We start from the raw sequence: 22,330 nt of genomic DNA on the forward strand, positions 1-22,330 counted from the left end.
TCCAGATTAACTGCTCTCATAATCCAGATTCAGATAAGGTTTTCAACTGTCCGCCTAATGGACTGCCCCACAGCCTGAGAAAGAAATGTGTGTGTGTGTGTGTGTGTGTCTGTGTGTGTGTGAGAGAGAAAGAGAGAGAGAGGGAGGGAGGGAGAGAGACAGAAAAGGGATTTCATTCAAATGTCTAAAATTTGACATTGAACTAGGTATCTGGCCTGCTGAAGGTATAGATAGAGACTCCTTATCTGTGATGTAGAGATTCTTGAATAAACATTACCTCTTATGAATATTTCAGATACTCTTTTCTAGGAAAATAATAGTGTCCACACTTATAAGGCTACCTCTTTTTGTTGTTGTTTTTCATGTCATGGAATTTCCTAGCAGAAAGGCATGTTTGTTATCAGTCCAACCCCCTTCTGTTGTGGGTAAGAAAACTGAGACCTAGGGAAGTTAAGCCTGTAGTCACATGGCTGGTTAGAGGTAGTCCTGGAATGGAAATTCAGGCTCTGTCTATGCTGGTTTAGTCTAGCACGTTGCGTTACCTTCTTTTCCACTAGTTTACCATGAGCTTGGCTGGGCTCTGACCCTGCCTTAGAATCACCTAAGACGCTTGTTAAAAAACACAGATTCCTGAGCCCCACAATAGCTTTAATTATTTGTATTATGGAAGCTGGGCGTGGTGGCTCATGCCTGTAATCCCAGCACTTTGGGAGGCTGAGGCGGGCGGATCATGAGATGAAGAGATTGAGACCATCCTGGCCAACATGGTGAAAGCGCGTCTCTACTAAAAGTATAAAAATTAGCTGGGCGTGGTGGCACATGCCTGTAACAGTTCCAGCTACTCGCGAGGCTGAGGCAGGAGAATTGCTTGAACCCAGGAGGCGAGGTTGCAGTGAGCCGAGATTGCGCCACTACACTCCATCCTGGTGATACATCCGGAGCGAGACTCCGTCTCAAAAATACCCCCCCCAAAAATACCAAATTATTTGTATTATGGGGAGAAAGCCCATGAGTCTGCATTTTTATAAGATTCCCAGATAGCTCTTATGAATGAATACTGCAGGGGCAGAACCATGCAGTAAGCTGTGGAGTAGACCCAGGTTCAGATTCAGAGAATCTTTAATTACGAGCTATTGTTTTTTTGATAAATCTTATGTCATTTTTACCTTAATCTTATTATCTTTATATATCATATATTTTACACTGATAAGCAAAGTTTCTCTAAGCAAATATGGAAAGAAATAAGCCTTTTTATTTGATTGAGATAAGTGAAGAAATGTGTTAAAGTGAATGTGAAGGCATGTTGGAAACATCGGGGTGACGTAGTGAAGTAAGTGCATATATCTGAAAAGTGCACTGTGTCTGAAAAGGGACATACTTTATTCAAATGATGCCAGTGGTTAGTGGAAGGATATAATCAGTGTTCTTGATGATTTTGGAAATTGACATAAGGATATCTTCTCTGTGGTCTCAGAGACTGGAGGAGATAGACCTCTAATCCCATTAGCTGAAGATGTGAGATTAACCAGAAAGAGTAATTCCGTTAATTTTCTGGTAGAAAAAAACATATTCATGTTTCCTTGAGATTATGGATTAAGTTTGTATTTTGGACTCAGGGAAGAAAGTAGGTTGTAACAATTCCTATTGTATTTGGTGAAGGAGCTCAAGATCTGTATATTGTGGTATTTTGAGGGAGATTATTTTTTCTTCAGTAAGTAGCAAGAAACTTAAGTGCTTCTAATAATTTTCCAAAGAGGCCAGGCATGGTGGCTCATGCCTGTAATCCCAGCATTTTGGGAATCTGAGGTGGGCAGATCATCTGAGTTCAGGCATTCGAGACCAGCCTGGTCAACATGGTGAAACTTTGTTTCTGCTAGAAATACATAAAAAAATTAACCGGGCTTGGTGGCGAGCGCCTGTAATCCCAGCTACTCGGGAGACTGAGGTAGGAGAATCGCTTGAACCCAGGAGGCAGAGGTTGCAGTGAGCCGAGATCACGCCATTGCACTCCAGCCTGGGTGACGAGCAAAACTCCATCTCAGATAATAATAATAATAATAAATAATTTTCCAAGGAATAAACAAGAAATGTATTTTAGTTTTGTGTCTTTATAAGCAGAGTTTTCCTTTTTTAACTTTTGACTTCTTAGGAGGCAATCATTATTATAATCTCAAAGTCATTCATTCAGCATGTGTATGTTGAGTACTGTGAACTCATCACTGTCCATGTCTTTGTGAAAGCTATAAGAGCAATAGAACTTAGGAGCCCTGCCCTTGAGAAGCTTACCTTCATCAAATTTTAAAATATCCCCGGGGAAGTACGCTGCCTTATTCTTGTCAAGGAAAGCAAACTGTGGCCATCATCAGGATATGCACTTGCCCTGTTTGAAATGATTAGCCAGTCAACATTGTATTATTAACCTTTAGATAATCATTTAAAAATGCTGTGGGAAATCTCTTGAGCTAGGCAAAGATCTCATATGGATTTTTATTAGTGAAAACATTTCCATAGATCTGTCTCCAGCAAGAAAAAAATCATAATTTCAGTCTGCAGATGAATGCTATATTTGACTGAGTGTTGCATTAAACTACTAATATAGAGAAATTTTGGGACACAGTGATTAGCATGTAGAGTCTAGAAAATAGGCATTGATGCTGATAATACTGAAGACCGTCTGAAAGAAAAGCATCCTAGAGAAAGTTCAGTTGTTTTGGTGCTTGACAGTAGTTGTTTTTACAGGCCAAGTTGAAATTAGGTATCCTGTGGAAAGAATGTCAGGGAATGTGTACCTGCCCATTTGTGCTTCATTGAATGCACTGTGGTTTATCTGGGAAGGATACAGGATTGGGACCCAGGCACTTTAGTTGTAGACCTGATAGCATCTAGCTGTGGAACCTTGCGGGGTGGGGAGGGGCTTCAGTACATTGGCTTGTACTTTCCAAGTCTGTAAAACAGACACACGAGAATGTAGGTTCATCAGTTGTAAGGTTTATACCACTCTGGTGGGGGATGTTGATAATGGGGGAGGCTATGCATGTGTGGGGCAAAGCTTGTGTGGGAAATCTCTGTACCTTCTGTTCAGTTTTGCTGTGAGTCTGAAACTGCTCTAAAAAATAGTGGTTTTTGTTTTTGCTTTTTTTTTTTTTTTTTTTTTTTGAGACGGAGTCTCGCTCTGTCGCCCAGGCTGGAGTGCAGTGGCGCGATCTCGGCTCACTGCAAGCTCCGCCTCCCGGGTTCACGCCATTCTCCTGCCTCAGCCTCCCAAGTAGCTGGGACTACAGGCGCCCGCCACTACGCCCGGCTAATTTTTTGTATTTTTAGTAGAGACGGGGTTTCACCGTTTTAGCCGGGATGGTCTCGATCTCCTGACCTCGTGATCCGCCCGCCTCGGCCTCCCAAAGTGCTGGGATTACAGGCGTGAGCCACCGCGCCCGGCCTGTTTTTGCTTTTAAAAAACAGACACAGATTTCTGAAAACCCTTCTGGTTCTGAACTTCATTGAGTCTTCTGATCATTCCTTAAAATGACCATTTGGTGGAATTGTAGGTCTAGAATGTTCCCTGTGCTTGCAGTTCAGACCTTTTCCTTCCTTCTCTGGCCAGCATAATCTTCTCTGGCTTTCAAGGCTCTGAATTCCAGTGATCAGTTTACATTTTCAGCCCTATCTCTGATGACTAGACACATTATATTTTCTCTTTCTCTAGATCTTAAGTCAAGGTCTCATGAATGTATACCTTGACTTAAAAATTCTTATGTGAACAGAGCCTTTTATTTTGTATTCATTCCTCTGCATGGCAGAATATTGGTTATAGTCTTCCTTTTTTTTTTTTTCATAAAAATATCTTGTGAATTCATCTCTTCCTCTCTTCTATTCCCTAGGCTTGGCTCATTCTATCACACATCTGAATCACAATGGTGGCTTCATAGCTGGTTTCTTTACCTCTGGGCTTTCTCATCTGCCCCTGGAAAATCCATATTTGGTTAAACTTTTTCTTGTTGTTTTTTCAAATAGAACACATTTATTCATCTCCAATTTGCTTTTCTGATTATTTGGTTTCTTCAGAATGTTCTTTCATTTCATGAAAAGTATATAATCTTAAACAAATTACTGTATTCTCAGTCTTTAGTTGAAGAAAATAATTGAGTTAGTGAGTAACAGCCAAATAATTCTATCCAGAAATATTTGAATGATGTTAGCCAGGTAAGAATTCTAAAGACTGAAAATAGAGTTGTCTATAAAATTCTATTAAAATTATATATGTGGTTGGGTTAGGTGGCTTATGCCTGTAATCCTAACTCTTTGGGATGCTGCAGTGGGAGGATCGCTTGAGCCCAGGAGTTTGAGATTAGCCTGGGCAATATAGCAGACTCCAACAAAAAGTTTCAAAATTAGCTGGGTGTGGTGGTATGCCGCTATGGTCACAGCTACCTTGGAAACTGAGGCGGGACAAGGTTACAGTGATGATCATACTGCTGTACTGTAGCCTGGGTGACAGAGCAATACCCTGTTTCTAAAATTAAAATGTATATATATAAAAGTTAAATAATTGAACTCAGTAAATATATTTTTCACTGTAGAGATTACAAATACAATATTCTAGAAATAACTTGGGTTTTTGAATTATAGAGATCTGTGTTTCCATCTTAGCCCTGACAAGTATGGTGTGACCTTGAACAAGTAATTTAATATCTGAGCTTCAGCTGTTTCCTTATCTGTAAAATGGACCTAATGGCTACCTGGTAGAGTTAGTGAGACTATTAAGTGAGATATATAATTAAATTACCTTTAACTTGATGAGTGATCAATAAATGGTAGCCATTATTGTAATTCCAATCGATCCTATATTGTGAAAATACTTGGCTTTCACCATTTCACCTCCTCCCTGAAGGCTTACTTGGTCTCCTCTGCTAGACTTTTCAACACTGATCTGCTAAGATACTTTGCCTTCTTTTATGGTACCTACCAATTTCAGCCTTGTGTTTTTATGTTCTAATGCTGCCTTATTAATAGGCTGCTTGAGGGTAGGATCTGTGCTTATCGGGCGTCTGTATCACTTATGTCACCTTGAACAGTACTTTTCATAATGTGAAGACTTGTTTTCATCAGTGTTTGTTGAATGAATAAGGAAGCATTGCTCCCCTTGTCTGGGAAGTTAGAATGGCCTTTTACTGCCTGGTGTACCAAGCCCAGACACTTCATTCTCTCTCTCTTTGAAGATCCTGGGTCATTTGGCCCCATTCCTGTTACCCTCCCACCCCCGAGCCCCAACCCCTTTGCTGTTGTCAGGCTGTCTTGGTCTTTGTTCTTTGGGAATGTTGGTCCTGTTTAGAATGCCTCTTGATGTTATCTGCTCTGCTATTGGAAATTATCCCTAGCCTTGAAGGTGAAGCTTAAATTCCTTCACTTTCATAAACCCTTCTCTTATTCCTCTTGTTCCTTAAGTTTTAATGCTTAATTATTTTTTTCTCTGTAAATTTTCTTCTTATTATTTTGAACACATGCCCCTTAACACCAAAGACAATAACTAGAACATAAAAAAGGCCTACCTATCTGTAAACTTTGGAGAACGAATCAATGTGGCAGCTTTACTCTTTTAAGTGTGAAAAAAAAAGATGTTTAAAACTTGAACCATCTGGGAGTGAAATTGTTCTAAAATTAAGTATCTTTAAAAAATGTTTTTGCCTAATTGTAAAGGTATACATAGATTACCTTTATAACTTATCTGTAAATTATCAAGGAAATTAAAATTCACAGATTTTCAAGGAAATCAGAATTGCCTAGTATCATCTCCTGAAGAAGTAGAACTTTGAAGGTTTAGTCCCTGTGGGAGGTGCAGTGCAATGGGGAGAATTTAATCATTTTTGCTGACTTAGAGGACCTTACAAGCATCAAAGCTGCTGTGTTTTCATGCAGTGAGGCCCTCATCAACTCCTGAGGCTTTTTTTTTTTTTTTTTTTTTTTGAGACAGAGTCTTACTCTGTCACCCAGGCTGGAGTACAATGGCACGATCTCGGCTCACTGCAGTCTCCGCCTCCCAGGTTCAAGCAATTCTCCTGCCTCCCGAGTAGCTGGATTAGAGGCGCCCACCATCACACACCCGGCTGATTTTTGTATTTTTAGTAGAGTCGGGGTTTCACTATGTTGGCCAGGCTGGTCTCGAACTCCTGACCTCAGGTGATCCGCCCGCCTCAGCCTCCCAAAGTGCTGGGATTATAGGCGTGAGCCACTGTACCTGGTCAACTCCTGAGGCTTTTACAGCCACTTTCCTCTGATCAAGTGGCCAGTACTGCTCTTCTTTTCTGAGGCACTGTTTTTTTTTTCTTTTCAAGATGAAGTCTTGCTATGTTGCCAAGGCTTGTGTCAAACTCCTGGCTTCAAGCAGTCCTCCCGCTTCAGCCTCCTCAGTAGCTGGGACAACAGGTGTGTGCCACTGCTCTTGGCTCACTGAGTGTATTTTGATATAAACTTTTCGATTCCTCCCCTGTGATCAGGCTCTCATTCGTCTATCATAGCAATTTCCACTTCAGATATGGTATTTCGAATATGCAGTAGGCAAGAAACAAGAGAATTGGCCGGGCGCGGTGGCTCACGCCTGTAATCCCAGCACTTTGGGAGGCCGAGGCGGGCGGATCACGAGATGAGGAGATCGAGACCATCCTGGCTAACACGGTGAAACAGCGTCTCTACTAAAAATACAAAAAATTAGCCGGGCGTGGTGGCGGGCGCCTGTAGTCCCAGCTACTCGGGAGGCTGAGGCAGGGGAATGGCGTGAACCCGGGAGGCGGAGCTTGCAGTGAGCGGAGATCCCACCACTGCACTCCCGCCTGGGGCGACAGAGCGAGACTCCGTCTCAAAAAGAAAAAAAAAAAAAAAAAAAGAAACAAGAGAATCCAGGTTACCAGAATTGTGGGTAAACTAACAGGACGATGGTTCTGAGTGGAGTTCTAGCAGCTTTCAACAACTGGAATTCAGCCCTCATGCCTTAGGGCACCCGTTATATGTAACGAATTAACTCTCCAGTGTGTCTAGAAGGATACCAGTTCTTCACTTGGAGAACTGAGGAAATAGTTGTTCTTGAGTGTTTTTGTTTTGTGGTTCAAATGAGAAACCTTTGTTGGAAAAGGCTGCTGGGGTCCTTCTGAATAGTCAAGTACATAAACTATCTGCTATGTCTATCATGCTAACACATGATACTGATCAAGTAGTTACATAATAATATAATTGATTTTGTTAAAGTTGGTTTACTTAAAACATTTTGAAAGGGAGATGCTCTTCATGAAGATGGTAATACATATAATAAAGATTAATATTTACTGATTACTTAGAACATGCTAGGCTTTTCTAGGTCCCTGCATTGTCTTCTACTCCTCCCAACAATTTTATTCCGATTTTTATCCTGATTTTACAAATGTGGGAGCTGATATTTTGAGAGGTGTTTATTTGGTAAGTCTCATTGGTACCATTCTGTGACTATTTTAGATAAATAATCAGAGACAAGTGTTCATACACTATTACTTAAGAACAGTAACGCTTTTTTGTGGTTGCCAAAATAGACATTGGTTTCAGAATTTAAATATGTAAGTTTTAATAGCAAAATTACTGTTATAATTCTCAGTAGGTCATTTAAAAAATATTTGCTTAAAAAGTTAGGCATCAGGAGTAATATGAACTCACAAACTTCAGGAAATGAAGTTGTTAACACCCCACATAAGTTCATACAAACTTTTCATAGTTTGTATGAAAAGTAATCAACTTGCCCATAGTCATACGGCTAGCAAGAGAATGGTGAGCCAGGAATTAGCTGTAGTGTATGTGGTTCCGGAGATTGCATTCTCAATCTGAAAATTACTTTATATACTTTTGTATGTTTTATTATTCATATAACCTTCACATTCCATATACAACTAGCTGCTAATTATCTGTCTTTTTTAAAATGCTTTTTTTAAAAATTAGGAATTCAAAATATAATGAGATTACACGGATGAGATTTAGATTGATATGGCATGGAATAGTGGCTAAAAACCATATAAGGGAAGAAAAAGTAGCAGACGAATTAGAAGTTAATTTATATTTCTCTTGCTAACTTTTAATGAAACTGTTCTTGGCTCAAAAATAGTTAAAACTTTTTAAATTGGAAAATAATAATTATCTATTTAGGGGATACAATGTAATATTTTGATACATGTATACAATGTGAAATGATTAAATCAAGCTGAGTGACTTCATCACCTCACATACTTAGTTTTTGTGTTGAGAATGTCTGAAATTTACTCTCTTAGCCGTTTTGAAACATACATGAGTATTAACTGTAGCTACCATGCTGTGCAGTAGATCTCAAAGACTTACTTTTCTTGTATGACTGAAACTTTGTACCCTTTGACCATCATCTCTAATTACCTGCCTTAATTGGAAGACCAAAATGAAGGTAGATATGAAATCTACAGGTAATCTCTAAGTGTTATTTTAATTAACAAATTTTAAATTTCTTGCCCATTATTCCACTTACAGAGATTTTTGAACAAGAAACAGAAAGGATTACTTTAAATTTCAACTCTTTCTGTATTTGCATTTTGGACTATATGGTGGACATGCCATGTGCAAATTGTGAGCACAGGAAAAGGCTAAGGGCTGAGATCACCCTGTTTGGACTACTTAACCCTTGAGTCATTGAGCCAGCTGATGGCAAGGACAGCCCTTATGAAGTAGGGGAGATTTTGCCTGTGGGTGTGTTGGACTCTTATTGCATGCTTTTCCCACCCCCGAGGTGTCTACTTGGAGAGTTTCCCCTATTAAAAGCTGTCTGGGAGAAGAATAGAAAATTCGGCTCTCACTAAAGTGTGAAAGCCTATTGGTGTAAATAGCTTTTTCCTGGGAAAGGTAAGTTTGGTTGGTACCAAGGAATGACCCTTTATATGTGCAGTTTAAAATGTTTAACCAAAGGGAATATTTGGTTGTGGGGAGCCTTTTGGGTGTCCCTGAAATCTTGCCATTTTGACTTCTGTCCATCATGGTTTTTGTACACTTGACCTTACTTTTCTCAGCCTTCTAGATCTGTAGCTGTTAAATCCTGTCCTGCAGACGGGAGCAGCGTTCTCTGTGAAAACTGGACAGGAGTCAGCTCCTTTAGAGCACTGGCTCAGCCACGTGACTTCTTCCACCAGGGCTTCGGGTTCAGCTGGGTCAGGGGAGCAGAGGCGGGAAGCTTGTGTCCCTGTGGAGCCCCACTAGGGAGAATGTCTCCCAGCAACCAGCATCCAGGCCACAGTGATCGCAGAGCTAACCCACACTAACTTCTGAGTGGGTACATCTAAGGACTCCCTTTTTAAAGGTGGAATGGGGTACTTTAAAGTTTTTGATGACTTGTCAGAGCATTTGAAAGCACTGGGAAAACCAGCCGCCTTGTCAAAACCTGTGTCACTTCTTCCAGAGGAGAAATTGCAGAAAGAGAGCAGGTGCCGTGGGAAGCAGTGTTTTGAATCAGCACCCAGCAGGTGGTGATTTCCCCTCTAATTCGGTTTTGAACAGATACTCCCAGACAGTGTTGGCAATCACTGTGCTCCATAATGTAGCGGAGGCTTGTTTGTTTGTTTGTTTTGGGAGACAATATCAGCTCAAGCCCTGTCTGCTTATAGTCACAGTATTTTAGCACATGTTAGATGCCTGCTGTTTAAGGGGTACACCTACATTCCAAGCTTCTTCTGTGTGTGTGTCTGTGTGTGCATGTTTAAATATATATTTAAGCACAGAAAAAGGCATTACCAGAGATCTTGAGACTGTTAAGTAGGGATCTGGAGAGTATTTGATTTTTTTCTGCAAGTCAAAGGTAGTGCAAAGGTACATATACAGTATGTACATATACAGTAGCTACACAACAAATCTTTCTTTTTTAAATTTTTCTTTGAAAACTTAGCTCACTTCAGTTTCGAAGGATGACCCTGTATCCCAGTTAGAGAATTTGGTTATAGAGTTTGAGCCCATCCTGATTAAAATTTTCACAAATAAATATATATGTTGGGATGTTAGTATTTAATTACCTGTAGCTTTTTTGAAAAGAGATTGGACTTTCAGTGAGACTGACGGGCATTCAAATCCTGGTTCTTCTACCTATAATTTTTGAGTTTTGTAAGTAAAAAATAGTGAATAAAAGCTAGGTCATAGAGTAACTGTGAAGATTAAATGAGGTATTATTTGTAGAGCAGTTGGCGTGGTGCCTAGAATATAGTGAGCCACAATAAGAATTACAGACCCTTCCCTTTACTCAAAATATATTAGGAATGTTGGAAAATTCTGACCTTAAAGCTAAAGAATAATTGTGAACAGGGGTATTTGCTGACTGGAATATAACATGAGGTTGTGAGGGAAAAAAATTCAAAGAGTGTAGGCAGTTGGAGCCTCAATGTGTGCTAGGATATAATGGAAGTTGAAACTAGACACGTATTCAATACCTTTATGCTGATTTTCTTTCATATGGAAATGTGATTAAAGGGTAGTTATCAATTGTTTTTTCTTCCTGAGGGAATTTATCCATCCCAAGTTCTTTTATTTTTCAGATTCTTTTTTGATCAGCATCTTTAAAATTAATCAATAGCCAAATAACAGAGTAGGTGTTTATTTGATAAGTCTCATTGGTACCATCCTATGACTATTTTAGATAAATAATCATAGACAAGTGTTCATACACTATTACTTAAGAACAGTAACACTTTTTTGTCGTTGCCAAAATAGACATTGGTTTCAGAATTTAAATATATAAGTTTTAATAGCAAAATTACTGTTATAATTCTCAGTAGGTCATTTAAAAAATATTTGCTTAAAAAATTAGGCATCAGGAATAGTATGAACTCACAAACTTCAGGAAATGAAGTTGTTAACACCCCTCATAAGATATGCTTTTCATAGTTTGTATGAAAAGTAAATGTTCCTGGGAGAGGTCTTGTATTACCTTAAATTCATGGTAAAGTATAAATGACCAAAAATAGATTTTTTCCTGAAATGAGACTTAAGTGGGGTAGTTTGTGGTAAGAGTAGGACATTGAGTACTGAGCTGTGGTAATAGGGCAGTAAGTTTCAGGAAAAATAGGTACAGATATTGTATAATCTTCAAGTTCCATTAATTGTTTCTTCTTTTTTTGAGAGCTTAATATACTTATTTAAATTTAAATGAAATAGTTTTCAAATTGTTTTAAGTGTTTTCTATTATGGAGATATAAATAATATTTAGGATATTTTCACAGGATTTATTGTTTGCGGATCTGTTTTAGCATGCAAGTATTCTTGCAGTCACTCTAACTTGCGTGACTAGCACAACATCCAGCATAAATAGCAGCTTTAGGAATAACATTTTCAGTTGACCGATAGTATAAATTCAATAAGTAACAGAGCATTATTGGACATTCTAAAATTTTAATTTTGGAAAGTTCTTCATCTAGTAGTTTTCATTGAGAGGAAAGAGTTAAGTGGATTTTCTCTGAAGCGCTTGGTTCCTAGAATAATTGATTAAATCTTTTCAAAGCACTGAGAGTTGACTCTTTACCCAACAGGGGGCCAAAGTTATCCAGCTTCTTGATGAATTTCTCTAAGGTGTAATGATTCTCTCTGTAAGTTAGGCACATTTAGGTGCTTGACAAAACTGTCATCAGAAGTTTTCCCAGAGTACATTAAGTTGAAAAACTACATGTTTGGAAATCTAAATGTGCTTTATTAAGTCTTTTATGGAGTTATCTTCATGAGAGCATGCTATGGTTTGGATGTGGTTTGTCTACACTAAAGCTGATGTTCAAATTTGATCCTCAGTGTGGCAGTGTTGGGAGATGGGGCCTAGTGAGAGGTCTTTGGGTCATGTAGGTGGATTTATGTGAACAGATTTATGCTCTCTCTGGGGAGGGAGTGGGTGAGTGAGTTCTTGCTCTCTTGGGAATAGATTAATTCTCATGAGAGTGGGTTGTTAAAAATAATCTGGCTTCCTTGTTTTTTCTTCTGTTGCTTCGTCTCTTGAGGAAGATCTTGTGAGTTTTTTTGCACATACCTGCTACCTTTCACGTGTCCGCTTCCCCTTTGACCTTTTGCCATGTTATGACTCAGCAGAAAAGCCCTTACCAAAAGCCAGCACCACACTCTTGAACTTTGCAGCCTACAGAACTGTAAGCCAAATAAACCCCTTTTCTTTGTAAATTACCCAGTCTCAGTTATTCTTTTATTGCAACACAAAATGGACTAAGAGCATATAATAATGTAACCAAGATATTGACAATAACCATCTTGTGATATGAAAACTTTTGTCTGTTACCAAATTTATCCAAGATGTTAATTTGACTGAAAAGCATGAAAGAGAACTGATTTTTAGATGACAGCTTTCCAAAGCATTGTTAGTTCAAGGATTAACTCACAACTTTAGGTGTGTAAATATGTGTGTGTGTTTTCCATATTTGACAAGAATGTATGAACCCATATGATACTTTACCTTAAAGTTTCACTATAATTTGTTGGCTGGACATGGTGGCTCATTCCTGTCTCCCAGCACTTTGGGAGGTCGAGGAGGGAAGATCACTTGAGTCCAGGAGTTTGAGACTAGTCTGCACAACATGACAAAACCCCATCTCCATAAAAAATACAAAAATTAGCTGGGTGTGGTGGTGCATGCCTGTAGTCCCAGCTACTTGAGGTGGGAGGATTGCTTGAGCCTGGGAGGAGTGGAGGTTGCAGTGAGCAATGATTGTGCCATTACACTTCAGCCTGAGTAACAGTGAGAACCTGTTTAAAAAAAAAAAAGTTTCACTATAATTTAAAAAAGAAATTTCACTGAGGTGTAATATGTGGTGAGAACATTTAAAGTCTATTGTTAACGATTTTCAGGAATACAATGCATTGTTATTAACTGTAGTTAACATATTGTACAGTAGATCTCTTGAACTCAATAGATCTTCTAACCGAAATTTTTGTACCCTTTGACCAACATCTCCCCAGTCGTCTCTCTCCAGCCTCTGGTAACACCATTCTACTCTGTTTCTATGAATTCAGCTTTTTTAGAGTCCACATATTAAGTGAACCCTTTATGTGGTATTTCACTTAATGTAATACCCTCCAGGATTATCTGTATTGTTGTAAGTGACAGGATTTCCTTCTTTTTCAAGGCTGAATAGTATTCTGTTATTTAGGTTTACTACATTTTCTTTATCCATTCTTCATTGACAGACACTGAGGTTGATTCCTTATCTTGGCTATGGTGAATAGTGCTGCAGTGAACGTGGTAGAGCAGATGTTTCTTCAACATACTGACTTCACTTCCTTTGGATATATACCCGGTAGTGGGATTGCCGGATCATATGGTAGTTCTGTTTTTAATTTTTTGAGGAACCTCTATATACCATTCTTCATAATGGCTATACTAACTTACATTTCCAGCCACAGTGAACATAGGTTCCCTTTTCTCCACATCCTGTCATTTTTTTAAATTATCTGTTTCTGGAATTCCTACTCCTTAGATATTGGACTTTCCACACTGATCCTCTGATTTTGTTATTTTTCCCATTTCCTATTTTATTAAATTAATTTTTTCCTCCTAGATTTTAAAATAAGTAAATGTTTGTTATACCAAATTGGCAGAAACTTGGCTATAGTTTCTCCCTTTTTCCAGTCTATCTTATACACCAATCTGATCAAATCGATGACTGTGATCCACTGGTATTTCAAGTCTAGAGTTTGAATTTCAGGATTCTCTGTGACTTCATATCGGTATACCCATGCAACCATATTTTTACTCCCACATGTAACTTTTACCGTTGTTACTGTTTTGGAAACAGGCTGTCACCATTCCCAAATTGGTCTTCATTTTATACTCAGTGTTTGAAATGTCTGTCTTCTCCTTGATTCTCAGTTAATTTCTACTAATCTATCAGGGCAGGTCTGTCGGCTTGTTGAAACCTTCTCCGACCAGCCTCATCTTTTCATAGTGACAGAGTTGGAGCTGGAATCCAGTTTCCTGCTTTGTTCTATACTGTTATGCCCTATATTTAGCACTGCTGCTCAGATCAATTAAATGATGACTGTCAGGCCACGTAAGCTGGTTCTTTCCTTTTTGTCAGTGATTGCCTTCTAATTCTGTGGTTAAGTTACTCAGAGAAGGCCTCCAACATCAAGTTGGTTGTACTAGGATAAAGCACTGTAAAACAGCTAATAAAGTGCCTGGTGGAGTTAGTGGTTCATAAATTGTTATCCATGGTTTTCAACTGTGAATCCAGTAATGGCCCATATCACAGAACCAGAACCTAGAGTTCCCTTTTTCCAGGTCAAGGCTGTGTTCCCAGTGCTGGTGCCTTGCATATTCCTGTGAATCTCCATCCATGGCTACCCAGTACTTGGCCTCAGTAGACAGCCTGCGGGTTTGGATGTATTAGAACTGTGCTGTTAGAAGTTTTACAATAGGCCCTGCGCGGTGGCTCACACCTGTAATCCCAGCACTTTGGGAGGCCGAGGCGGGTGAATCACAAGGTCAGGAGATCGAGACCATCCTGGCTAACACGGCGAAACCCCGTCTCTATTAAAAATACAAAAAATTAGCTGTGCGTGGTGGTGGGCACCTGTAGTCCCAGCTACTCAGGAGGCTGAGGCAGGAGAATTGCTTGAACCTGGGAGGAGGAGGAGGTTGCAGTGAGCCGAGATCGTGCCACTGCACTCCAGCCTGGGTGACAGTGAGACTCTGTCTTAAAAAAAAAACAAAAAAAAGTTTTACAATAAACTCACTTGGAACTATAGTAAATTCAAAACAAAATGGGTGGGAAACTTAACAGATATTTTAACTGCCTCTTTCTTCGACTTCTTGATTCAAGACAAGAAGTACATTTCTCAAACAACTTTTGATATGTGAATTGCTGAGGAAAACTATATAGTCCCAACCTGGCAAGTTAAGAGTTCTTTGAAATTGTTAATGAAATACTTCATGCTGGGAACCTGGTAGAAGTACTTAATTTCTGAAAAATCTTTTGATAATGCTTCCCCTAAGAGTTTAAGGAAAATGCTAGCAGAGTAAAAAGTACTACCTTTTTCATAGGTTTAAACATATTAAAACAATAGCGAAAAAGATTATGATAAAGCTGCTGTTCCTCCCAGAGAGGTCAGTCATTGGTTGACACCACTTTTTTTATAGCAAATATTTCCAGAGCTAACAAAACTCTTTGGAGGAGAGTTTGGAAAAACAATTGACAGACATCAAGTTAAGGTTTTTGAAAAACTAAAAATATACTAGTTTTCTAAATAAATTGAGCTGAATTTAAATACATGGACATCCATTGCTATGATATTTTAAAGTTTCACTGTAATTTTTTGGCTGAGTATGGTGGCTCATGCCTGTAATCTCAGCACTTTGGGAGGCTGAGGTGGGTGGATCACTTGAGCCCAGGAGTTCAAGACCACCCTGGGCAACATGGCAAAACCCTGTCTCTACAAAAAATATAAAAATTAGCCAGGTGTGGTGGCATCCACCTGTAGTCCTACCTACTTGGGAGGCTGAGCTGGGAGGATTGCTTGAACCCGGGAGGTGGAAGTTGCAGTGAGCAATGATTATGCCACTGCACTCCAGCCTGGGCAACAGAGTGAGACCCTGTCTCAAAAAAATAAAAAGTTTCACTATAATTTTTAAAAAGAAATTTCATTGAGGTATAATATATGTTCAGTTTTCACATATCTGTACCAGTTTCAGTGTAATTTGATTTATTTATTTTTATTAGTGGGATTTTAAATATTTACATTTTAAAGTTGGGGAAGATAAAAATAAAATAATTCCTAGTCTGCCATTTTATTTTTATGAAGCAGGTTGCTACTAGAATCTTTTCATATTGGTTTCTATATGTTGTTTGTTGTTGTGTAATATATTACTCCAAAATTTAGGGGCCTGAAACAATAAGCATTTATTATCTCACAACATTTCTCTGGGTCAAAAATTTGAGAATGGCTTAGCTGGGTGGTTCTGGCTTGGGGTCTCTCATGAGGTTGCAATCAAGTTATTGGCCCAGGCAGCCATCACCTGAAGGTTTGGCTGGAGCTAGAGGATCTGATTCCAAAGTGGCTCACCCATATGGTTGGCAGCTTAGTGCTGACACCTGGTGAGAAGCCTCAGCCCTTTACCATGTGAACACCCTCTTAGGGTTGCTTGAGTATCCTTATGACATGGCAGCTGGCTTCTCGAGTGATCCAAGTAGGAAGGCAAAAGCCACCATGTGTTTTCTTACCAAATATTGAAGTCACACGTGGGTATTTCCACAATCTCCACTTGGTTACATAGGTCAGCTCTGTTAATTATGGAAGGGGCATGAATACTAGGAGGAGAGAATCATTGTGGGTCATTTTTGAGGCTAGCTACCCGTTTCCCTTATTTGCTATGTTAATTATTTTAACTTGCTTTTGTATTAGTTTCTTCCTATGGCTAAAGATTTCAAACATTCAGAAAAGTAGGACTAGTATAAAGAACACTCATATATCTGTCATGACCTAACACATTAATAATTTACTGTTTGTGTTGGCAGTTTTTTCTGCAATATCTTAAAATTATAGACATTTTGGAAAACATTTTACTATATGATCTGGCCCTTGCCGCCCTCTCTTTCTTTCACTCATAGACATAAAAAGTTTGCACTTTAAAGAAATTAATATATTTTCTTACAGTACCATAACATCATTGTCACAGTATCCAAATTTGAAATAATTCCTGGTTAACATCTAATACTGAGACCATATTTAAATTTGTTCAGTTGTCCCCAAAATGTAATGTATTTTATAGCTGGTTAATCCAAGCCATGATACAAATGAAGACTATGTATTTTATTCAGTTGTGTTTGTCTTCCTTTAGAGCAGAACTCCCTTTTTAGTATCATTATACTGGGTTATGTTTTGTGTAGATTGTCTCACCACCCGGATTTGTCTGATTATTTTCTAGTGATGTCATTTAACTTATTTCTGCATCTTCTGTCTTGTGTTGTCTTGTCTTGTCTTGTCTTGTCTTGTCTTGTCTTGTCCTGTCCTGTCCTGTCCTGTCCTGTCCTGTCCTGTCCTGTCCTGTCTTGTCCTGTCCCGTCCTGTCCTGCCCTGCCCTGCCCTGTCTTGTCTTTCTTTTTTGAGATAGTATCTTGCTCTATTGCCCAAGCCAGAGTGCAGTGGCATGAACATGGTTCACTGAAGCCTCAAGCTCCTGGGCTCAGCCTCCTGTATAGCTGGGACCACTGGCATGCACCAGCACGACCTGGCTAATTTTTAATTTTTTTGTAGAGACAGGGTCTCACCATATTGCCCAGGCTGATCTCCAACTCCTGGGCTCTAGCGATCTTCCCATCTTGGCTTTCCAAAGTGCTAAGATTATATATGTGAGCCACTGTGCCCAGCCTGTATTTTCTTTAATTTGGAAGTTATATCTAAAACTTGATTCGATTCAGATTAAACAGTTCTGGTAAAAGTACTTCAGAAGCGATGCTGTGTATTTTACATATCATATCATGAGGCACAGAATGAGTGCCTGGCTATCCCATTATAAGTGAAGTTAAGTTTGATCATTTGCTTAAGGAGATTATAGCCACATCCGCCAGTAGTATAGTTCCAGTTTCCCGCTTTGACCTGCATGTCCTGTATGAGTTGATACTCCAATACCATGTGAATGTCTCATTTTTCATTAACTTTTTACCCAGTGTCTTTAGCATCCATTGGTAATGCTAATGTATTATTTCATTAAGGGTTACAAAATAATGTAGTTTGCTTTAGTTTGATTCTTATGTTGTTAAATTACATGTTTTTCTTCTCCCTTCTCCTTTGGTGGTTAACACTAACTGCACAATATTTGTGGTTTTGAATCCTTTTTCCTTGCCCCTAGATGTCCCTTTCTTTTTAAGTTTGTTTATCAAGTAGTAGTTACTTAATTAATCTTGGTTAAGTGAATGGCTATACTTCCTTTATTCTGGTGTATCAGGGCTTCCCCAAATTACCAGCTCCCTTTTTCATTAAGTTATGTGTTTTTGTCATCAATTCATCAAATATTTGTAGAACATTTGCTATGTGTCAGTTAAGTACAGTGATGAGGAGCTGGGCTGTTATTAATGAAGTAGTCTGAATCCCTTTGTTTTGAGGAAGCTCTAATATCTTGTTGGCAACATCCAAGTAAATAATTCAACTATCACAACATAACCACTGGATTATGTGCCAGGGCCTGATAGACAATGAACACCTAAATATTTATTTACTGACTTGGGTAAGAGTTGTAATATTGATCTGTTAAGGTTCAGTGGAGCCCAGAGGAAGACTTAGTGGTTGAGGAGCTGGAGAAAGTTGCTCAGAAATGACATTGACTTGGATATTTGTTAGGGTGACTTAGCATGCAAATTAGACACTTTTGACAGCAAAAGGGAGCACTAAAAATACTTAAAATTATATAATTAAAAATATTGAATGATACATTGCCTTTATTTTATTGGTAGATCTTCTGTTCAAGAGAAAATAGTTCCATTCAAACAGTAAAAAATTCATTCTAACACTAAAATATACTCATGTACATCAAAGCCAAAAAATGTATTTATATTATCTCAGCATTATAAAACAACACAAGTTGAATTATTACTCTGCTTTAATAAGCTTCTTAGCTGTATCAATCTATGTGTCTAAGTTGCATTTTGTGTTTATTAAGTTTAAAATTCTTGATAGTTTTCAATTGATTCTTACCCATGAAATGTGTTTTTAAAATTGAGAAAATATTTTCTCTATAAGTGTTGAGATACTTGGTAAATTTAGCACATTCTATAAATGGAGGATATTTTCAATTCACATTTTTTAATTGAAATGTGTAAATATTTTACCAGAAATGTTTTCACAGCTAATATATTTTTGCCTCCATTCTGAGACAAAATAGTAAATATTTTTATAAGACAAAACTTGTCAAATAAGATGTTTCTGTTTATGATCCTTTGGGATATTTTGCTAATTCAAATACTGTAAAATTAAAAGTCTTCTCAATTTCATTTCTTTCCAGTACAGAATGTAAGCTTATCTAATTTAAAATAGGAGCTTGTGGTAGCTAGTCTCCAGAGATGGACCACGTCTCTGGTATTGATGCCTTTGTGTAGTCCTGTACTGCATTAATTCTGGGCTGACCCTGTAAGTCCCTTTAACCAATGGAATATGGTAGAAGTGTTGCTCTACAGCTGCTTCAACAATTTTGGGTGCTCTGAGCTGCCTATTAAGAAATTCAGCTACCTTGTTGGAAAAGGCACTTGGAAAGGGAGAGGTTTGAGGACTACATGGAGAGAAAGAAGGAGACTTAATGTCCCAGCAGAGCCCAGTCTTCCAGCCGTACCCTTCAAGGTATCAGAAATATGAGTGAAATCATCTTGCATTTCCCAGTCCCAGCCACCATCTGAGTTTAGCCACACAAGAGATCTAAAGTGAAAGCAGCAGCACAACCACTCAGCTGAGCCCCAGTCAACCTGTCAGGAGAAATAGAATGACTGCTGTTTTTAGCCACAATGTTTTGTGGTGGTTGTTATGTAACAAAAGACAGTCAAAAGAGACAAGTTGAAGTATTCCAAAGTGCAACTTTAGAATTTTAAAATTAACCCCATGTATACTAGTTGAAATCTCATTATTTAATTTGTTCAAATCCATTCTTTTGTAGGAGTAAATTTTATGTCTCCCTCTTTGCAAAATTGTCATTAATAATTGAAGTTCACTAACAGTTTCAAAAACAAGAGGCTTTGGTGTTTTATTTAATATTTTTTTAAATAAAAGATTTTCAACTGATTTTGAAAAAAAAAAGCCAACATTTAAAGGCCTCATTTAGAAGATAGTTCAAGACCAGTGTACATCAGCTTAGATTAATTGACAGAATGGCTCTTAACTCTTCAAAGAATCAGATGTTTCTAGTATTCAGCTGATGAGAATCAGCAGAGAGAGTGTGTGTATTGCCATGAAGAAAGATTTATGTTTAATTTAATGTCACCTTTTTCACAAAGATCAGATCGTTCTTTTATTCTGTGTATAAATAAAATGTTTAAAATTTGGCAATGACAGCTTTTACTTTAGTTGTTAGACTATGGAAGCATATTTGGATGAAATTATGAATTATGTGTCTGTCACAAAGAGATCCAGGTATATTTCTGTTCCATAGGTTTCCTAATTTAATAAGAACATATTTTTACCATGATACTACAACAAAATTTGTATCCATGTTGTCACTGCAAAATCACATAATTATGTGTTTATCCTAACCTCTTTAACTGAATTTATAGTGGTAGTCACAACAATGTCAGTTATTTTATCTTCAGCAAAATAGACTTCCGGTTTTTTTATTTGATAAATTAGATTTTTAAAATGAGTCAATATTCAAATTAACTGATTTTCTGTTTGAGGCATCTATGACTCTGCTATGAAACTGATATTTTCTAGTATTTTTGGAGCCAACAACTTAATAACTACTGCTTTCCTTTTTTTATTTTATTTTATTATTATTTTTTTATTTGAGATGGAGTCTGGCTCTGTTACACAGGCTGGAGTACAGTGGCATGATCTTGGCTCACTGCAACCTCCACCTCCCGGGTTCAAACGATTCTTCTGCCTCAGCCTCTCGAGTAGCTGGGACTACAGGCGCATGCCACCACACCTGGCTGATTTTTTGTATTTGTAGTAGAGACAGAGTTTCACCATGTTAGCCAAGATGGTCTTGATCTCCTGACCTCGTGATCTGCCCTCCTCGACCTCCCAAAATGCTGGGATTACAGGCGTGAGCCACCGCATCCGGCCTGCTTTACTTCTTACACATTCACTAGAAAATTTAGATCTAAAAGTGAGCAATATTTAGAATAGTCATTTATTTAAATGGAAGTCATGCTTCAGAGTTTTCTGGTAACTGTATCTTCTGAATATGTGTTAAATTGCCATCTTTGGACACAGGCATCCTAACATAACTACTAATTTTTTGAGGTAGATACCGATGCTTTTTAGCAGATTTAGGTCATCCTGGAGTCTGATATATAAATAGATAGATAGATAGATATCTTTGGTTTCCATAGCACGTGGCAAATGTTGAAAAACATTTTGTGCAAATTGCAGATAATCAACTTTCCTGAGAAATGGGAATTGAGAGTAAAATTTTTTATTAAACATACTTTTTGTGAGGTCATTGTAACTGATAGTTTTTGTTGTTGTTGTAGAATTAAAAAGCCTGACCCAAAGAAAATAGTTTAGATTTACAGAATTTGATAAATCATAAAAGCATTGCTTTCAGTGTGCTCTCTGCAAGGAACCTAGTGATTTCCCGTACATATTTCATGTTCACCTAATCTACAGTAGCGGCTCATTGACCTACTGACTGTGGGTGTTGTGTGTTTGTGTCTCTTGCATGATTGAGCTCAGGCCGGGGCTCAACTAGCTGCTATAGCAAATGGGTATAACAGAGACACAACAGTGTTGAATACTTCTCCTACTGCCACCCAAGAGTAGAAGGACTTAGCCGTCTGTAGCCACAATTTTTTTTTTAATTTCAATAGTTTTTGAGGTACAGGTGGTTTTGGATTACATGGTTAAGTTCTTTAGTGGTGATTTCTGAGATTTTAGTGTACCCATCACCCTAGCAATGTACGCTGTACCTAATATGTAGTCTTTTATTCCTCACCCCTCCCTATTCTCTCCCGCTGAATCCTCAGAGTTCGCTATATCATCCTTATGCCTTTGTGTCCTCACAGCTTAGCCCCCACTTATAAGTGAGATCATAGGATGTTTGGTTTTCCATTCCTGAGTTACTTCACTTAGAACTGTGGCCTCCAGCTCCACCCAAGTTGCTGCAAAAGACATTATTTCGTTTCCTTTTATGGCTCAGTACTCCATGATGTATATATACCACATTTTCTTTATCCACTTATTGATTCATGGGCACTTAGGTTGATTCCGTATCTTTGCATTTGCAAAATGTGCTGCAATAAACATACATGTGCATGTTGTCTTTTTCATATAATGACTTCTTTTCCTTTGGGAAGATACCTAATAGTGGGATTGCTGGATTGAATGGTAAGTTCTTTAAGGAATCCCCGTACTGTTTTCTGTAGTGGTTGTACTAATTTACATTCCCATCACCAATGTAAAAGTGTTCCCTTTTCACCACATTTATATCAACGTCTATTATTTTTTGACTTTTTAATTATGGTCATTCTTGCAGGAGTAAAGTGGTGTCTCATTGTGGTTTTAATTTGCATTTCCCTGATAATTAGTGATGTTGACCTTTTTAAAAATATGTTTGTTGGTTATTTGTATATCTTCTTTTGAGAAATGTCTATTTATGTCCTTTGCCCACTTTTAATGGGATTACTTG

The 22,330-nt window shown here is 38.2% G+C and overlaps 1 protein-coding gene across 3 annotated transcripts in view, besides 1 other annotated feature; it reads left to right on the top strand.

The window, feature by feature from the left end:
- Positions 1 to 22,330, top strand: part of DERA (deoxyribose-phosphate aldolase) — a 126,050-nt gene that overhangs the window by 8,553 nt on the left and 95,167 nt on the right. The gene's annotated exons all lie outside the window — the stretch shown is intronic.
- Positions 16,549 to 17,748: an enhancer, noted in NCBI's record as "BRD4-independent group 4 enhancer chr12:16089367-16090566 (GRCh37/hg19 assembly coordinates)". NCBI's record gives its function as "activates an origin of replication core promoter dependent on BRD2, P300/CBP, MED14 and CDK7 cofactors, and independent of BRD4, by STARR-seq in HCT116 cells {active_cell/tissue: HCT116}" and the evidence as "EXISTENCE:reporter gene assay evidence [ECO:0000049][PMID:35650434]".

This window comes from Homo sapiens, chromosome 12 (genome assembly GCF_000001405.40).
Source record: "Homo sapiens chromosome 12, GRCh38.p14 Primary Assembly".
Classification (NCBI taxonomy): Eukaryota; Metazoa; Chordata; class Mammalia; order Primates; family Hominidae; genus Homo; species Homo sapiens.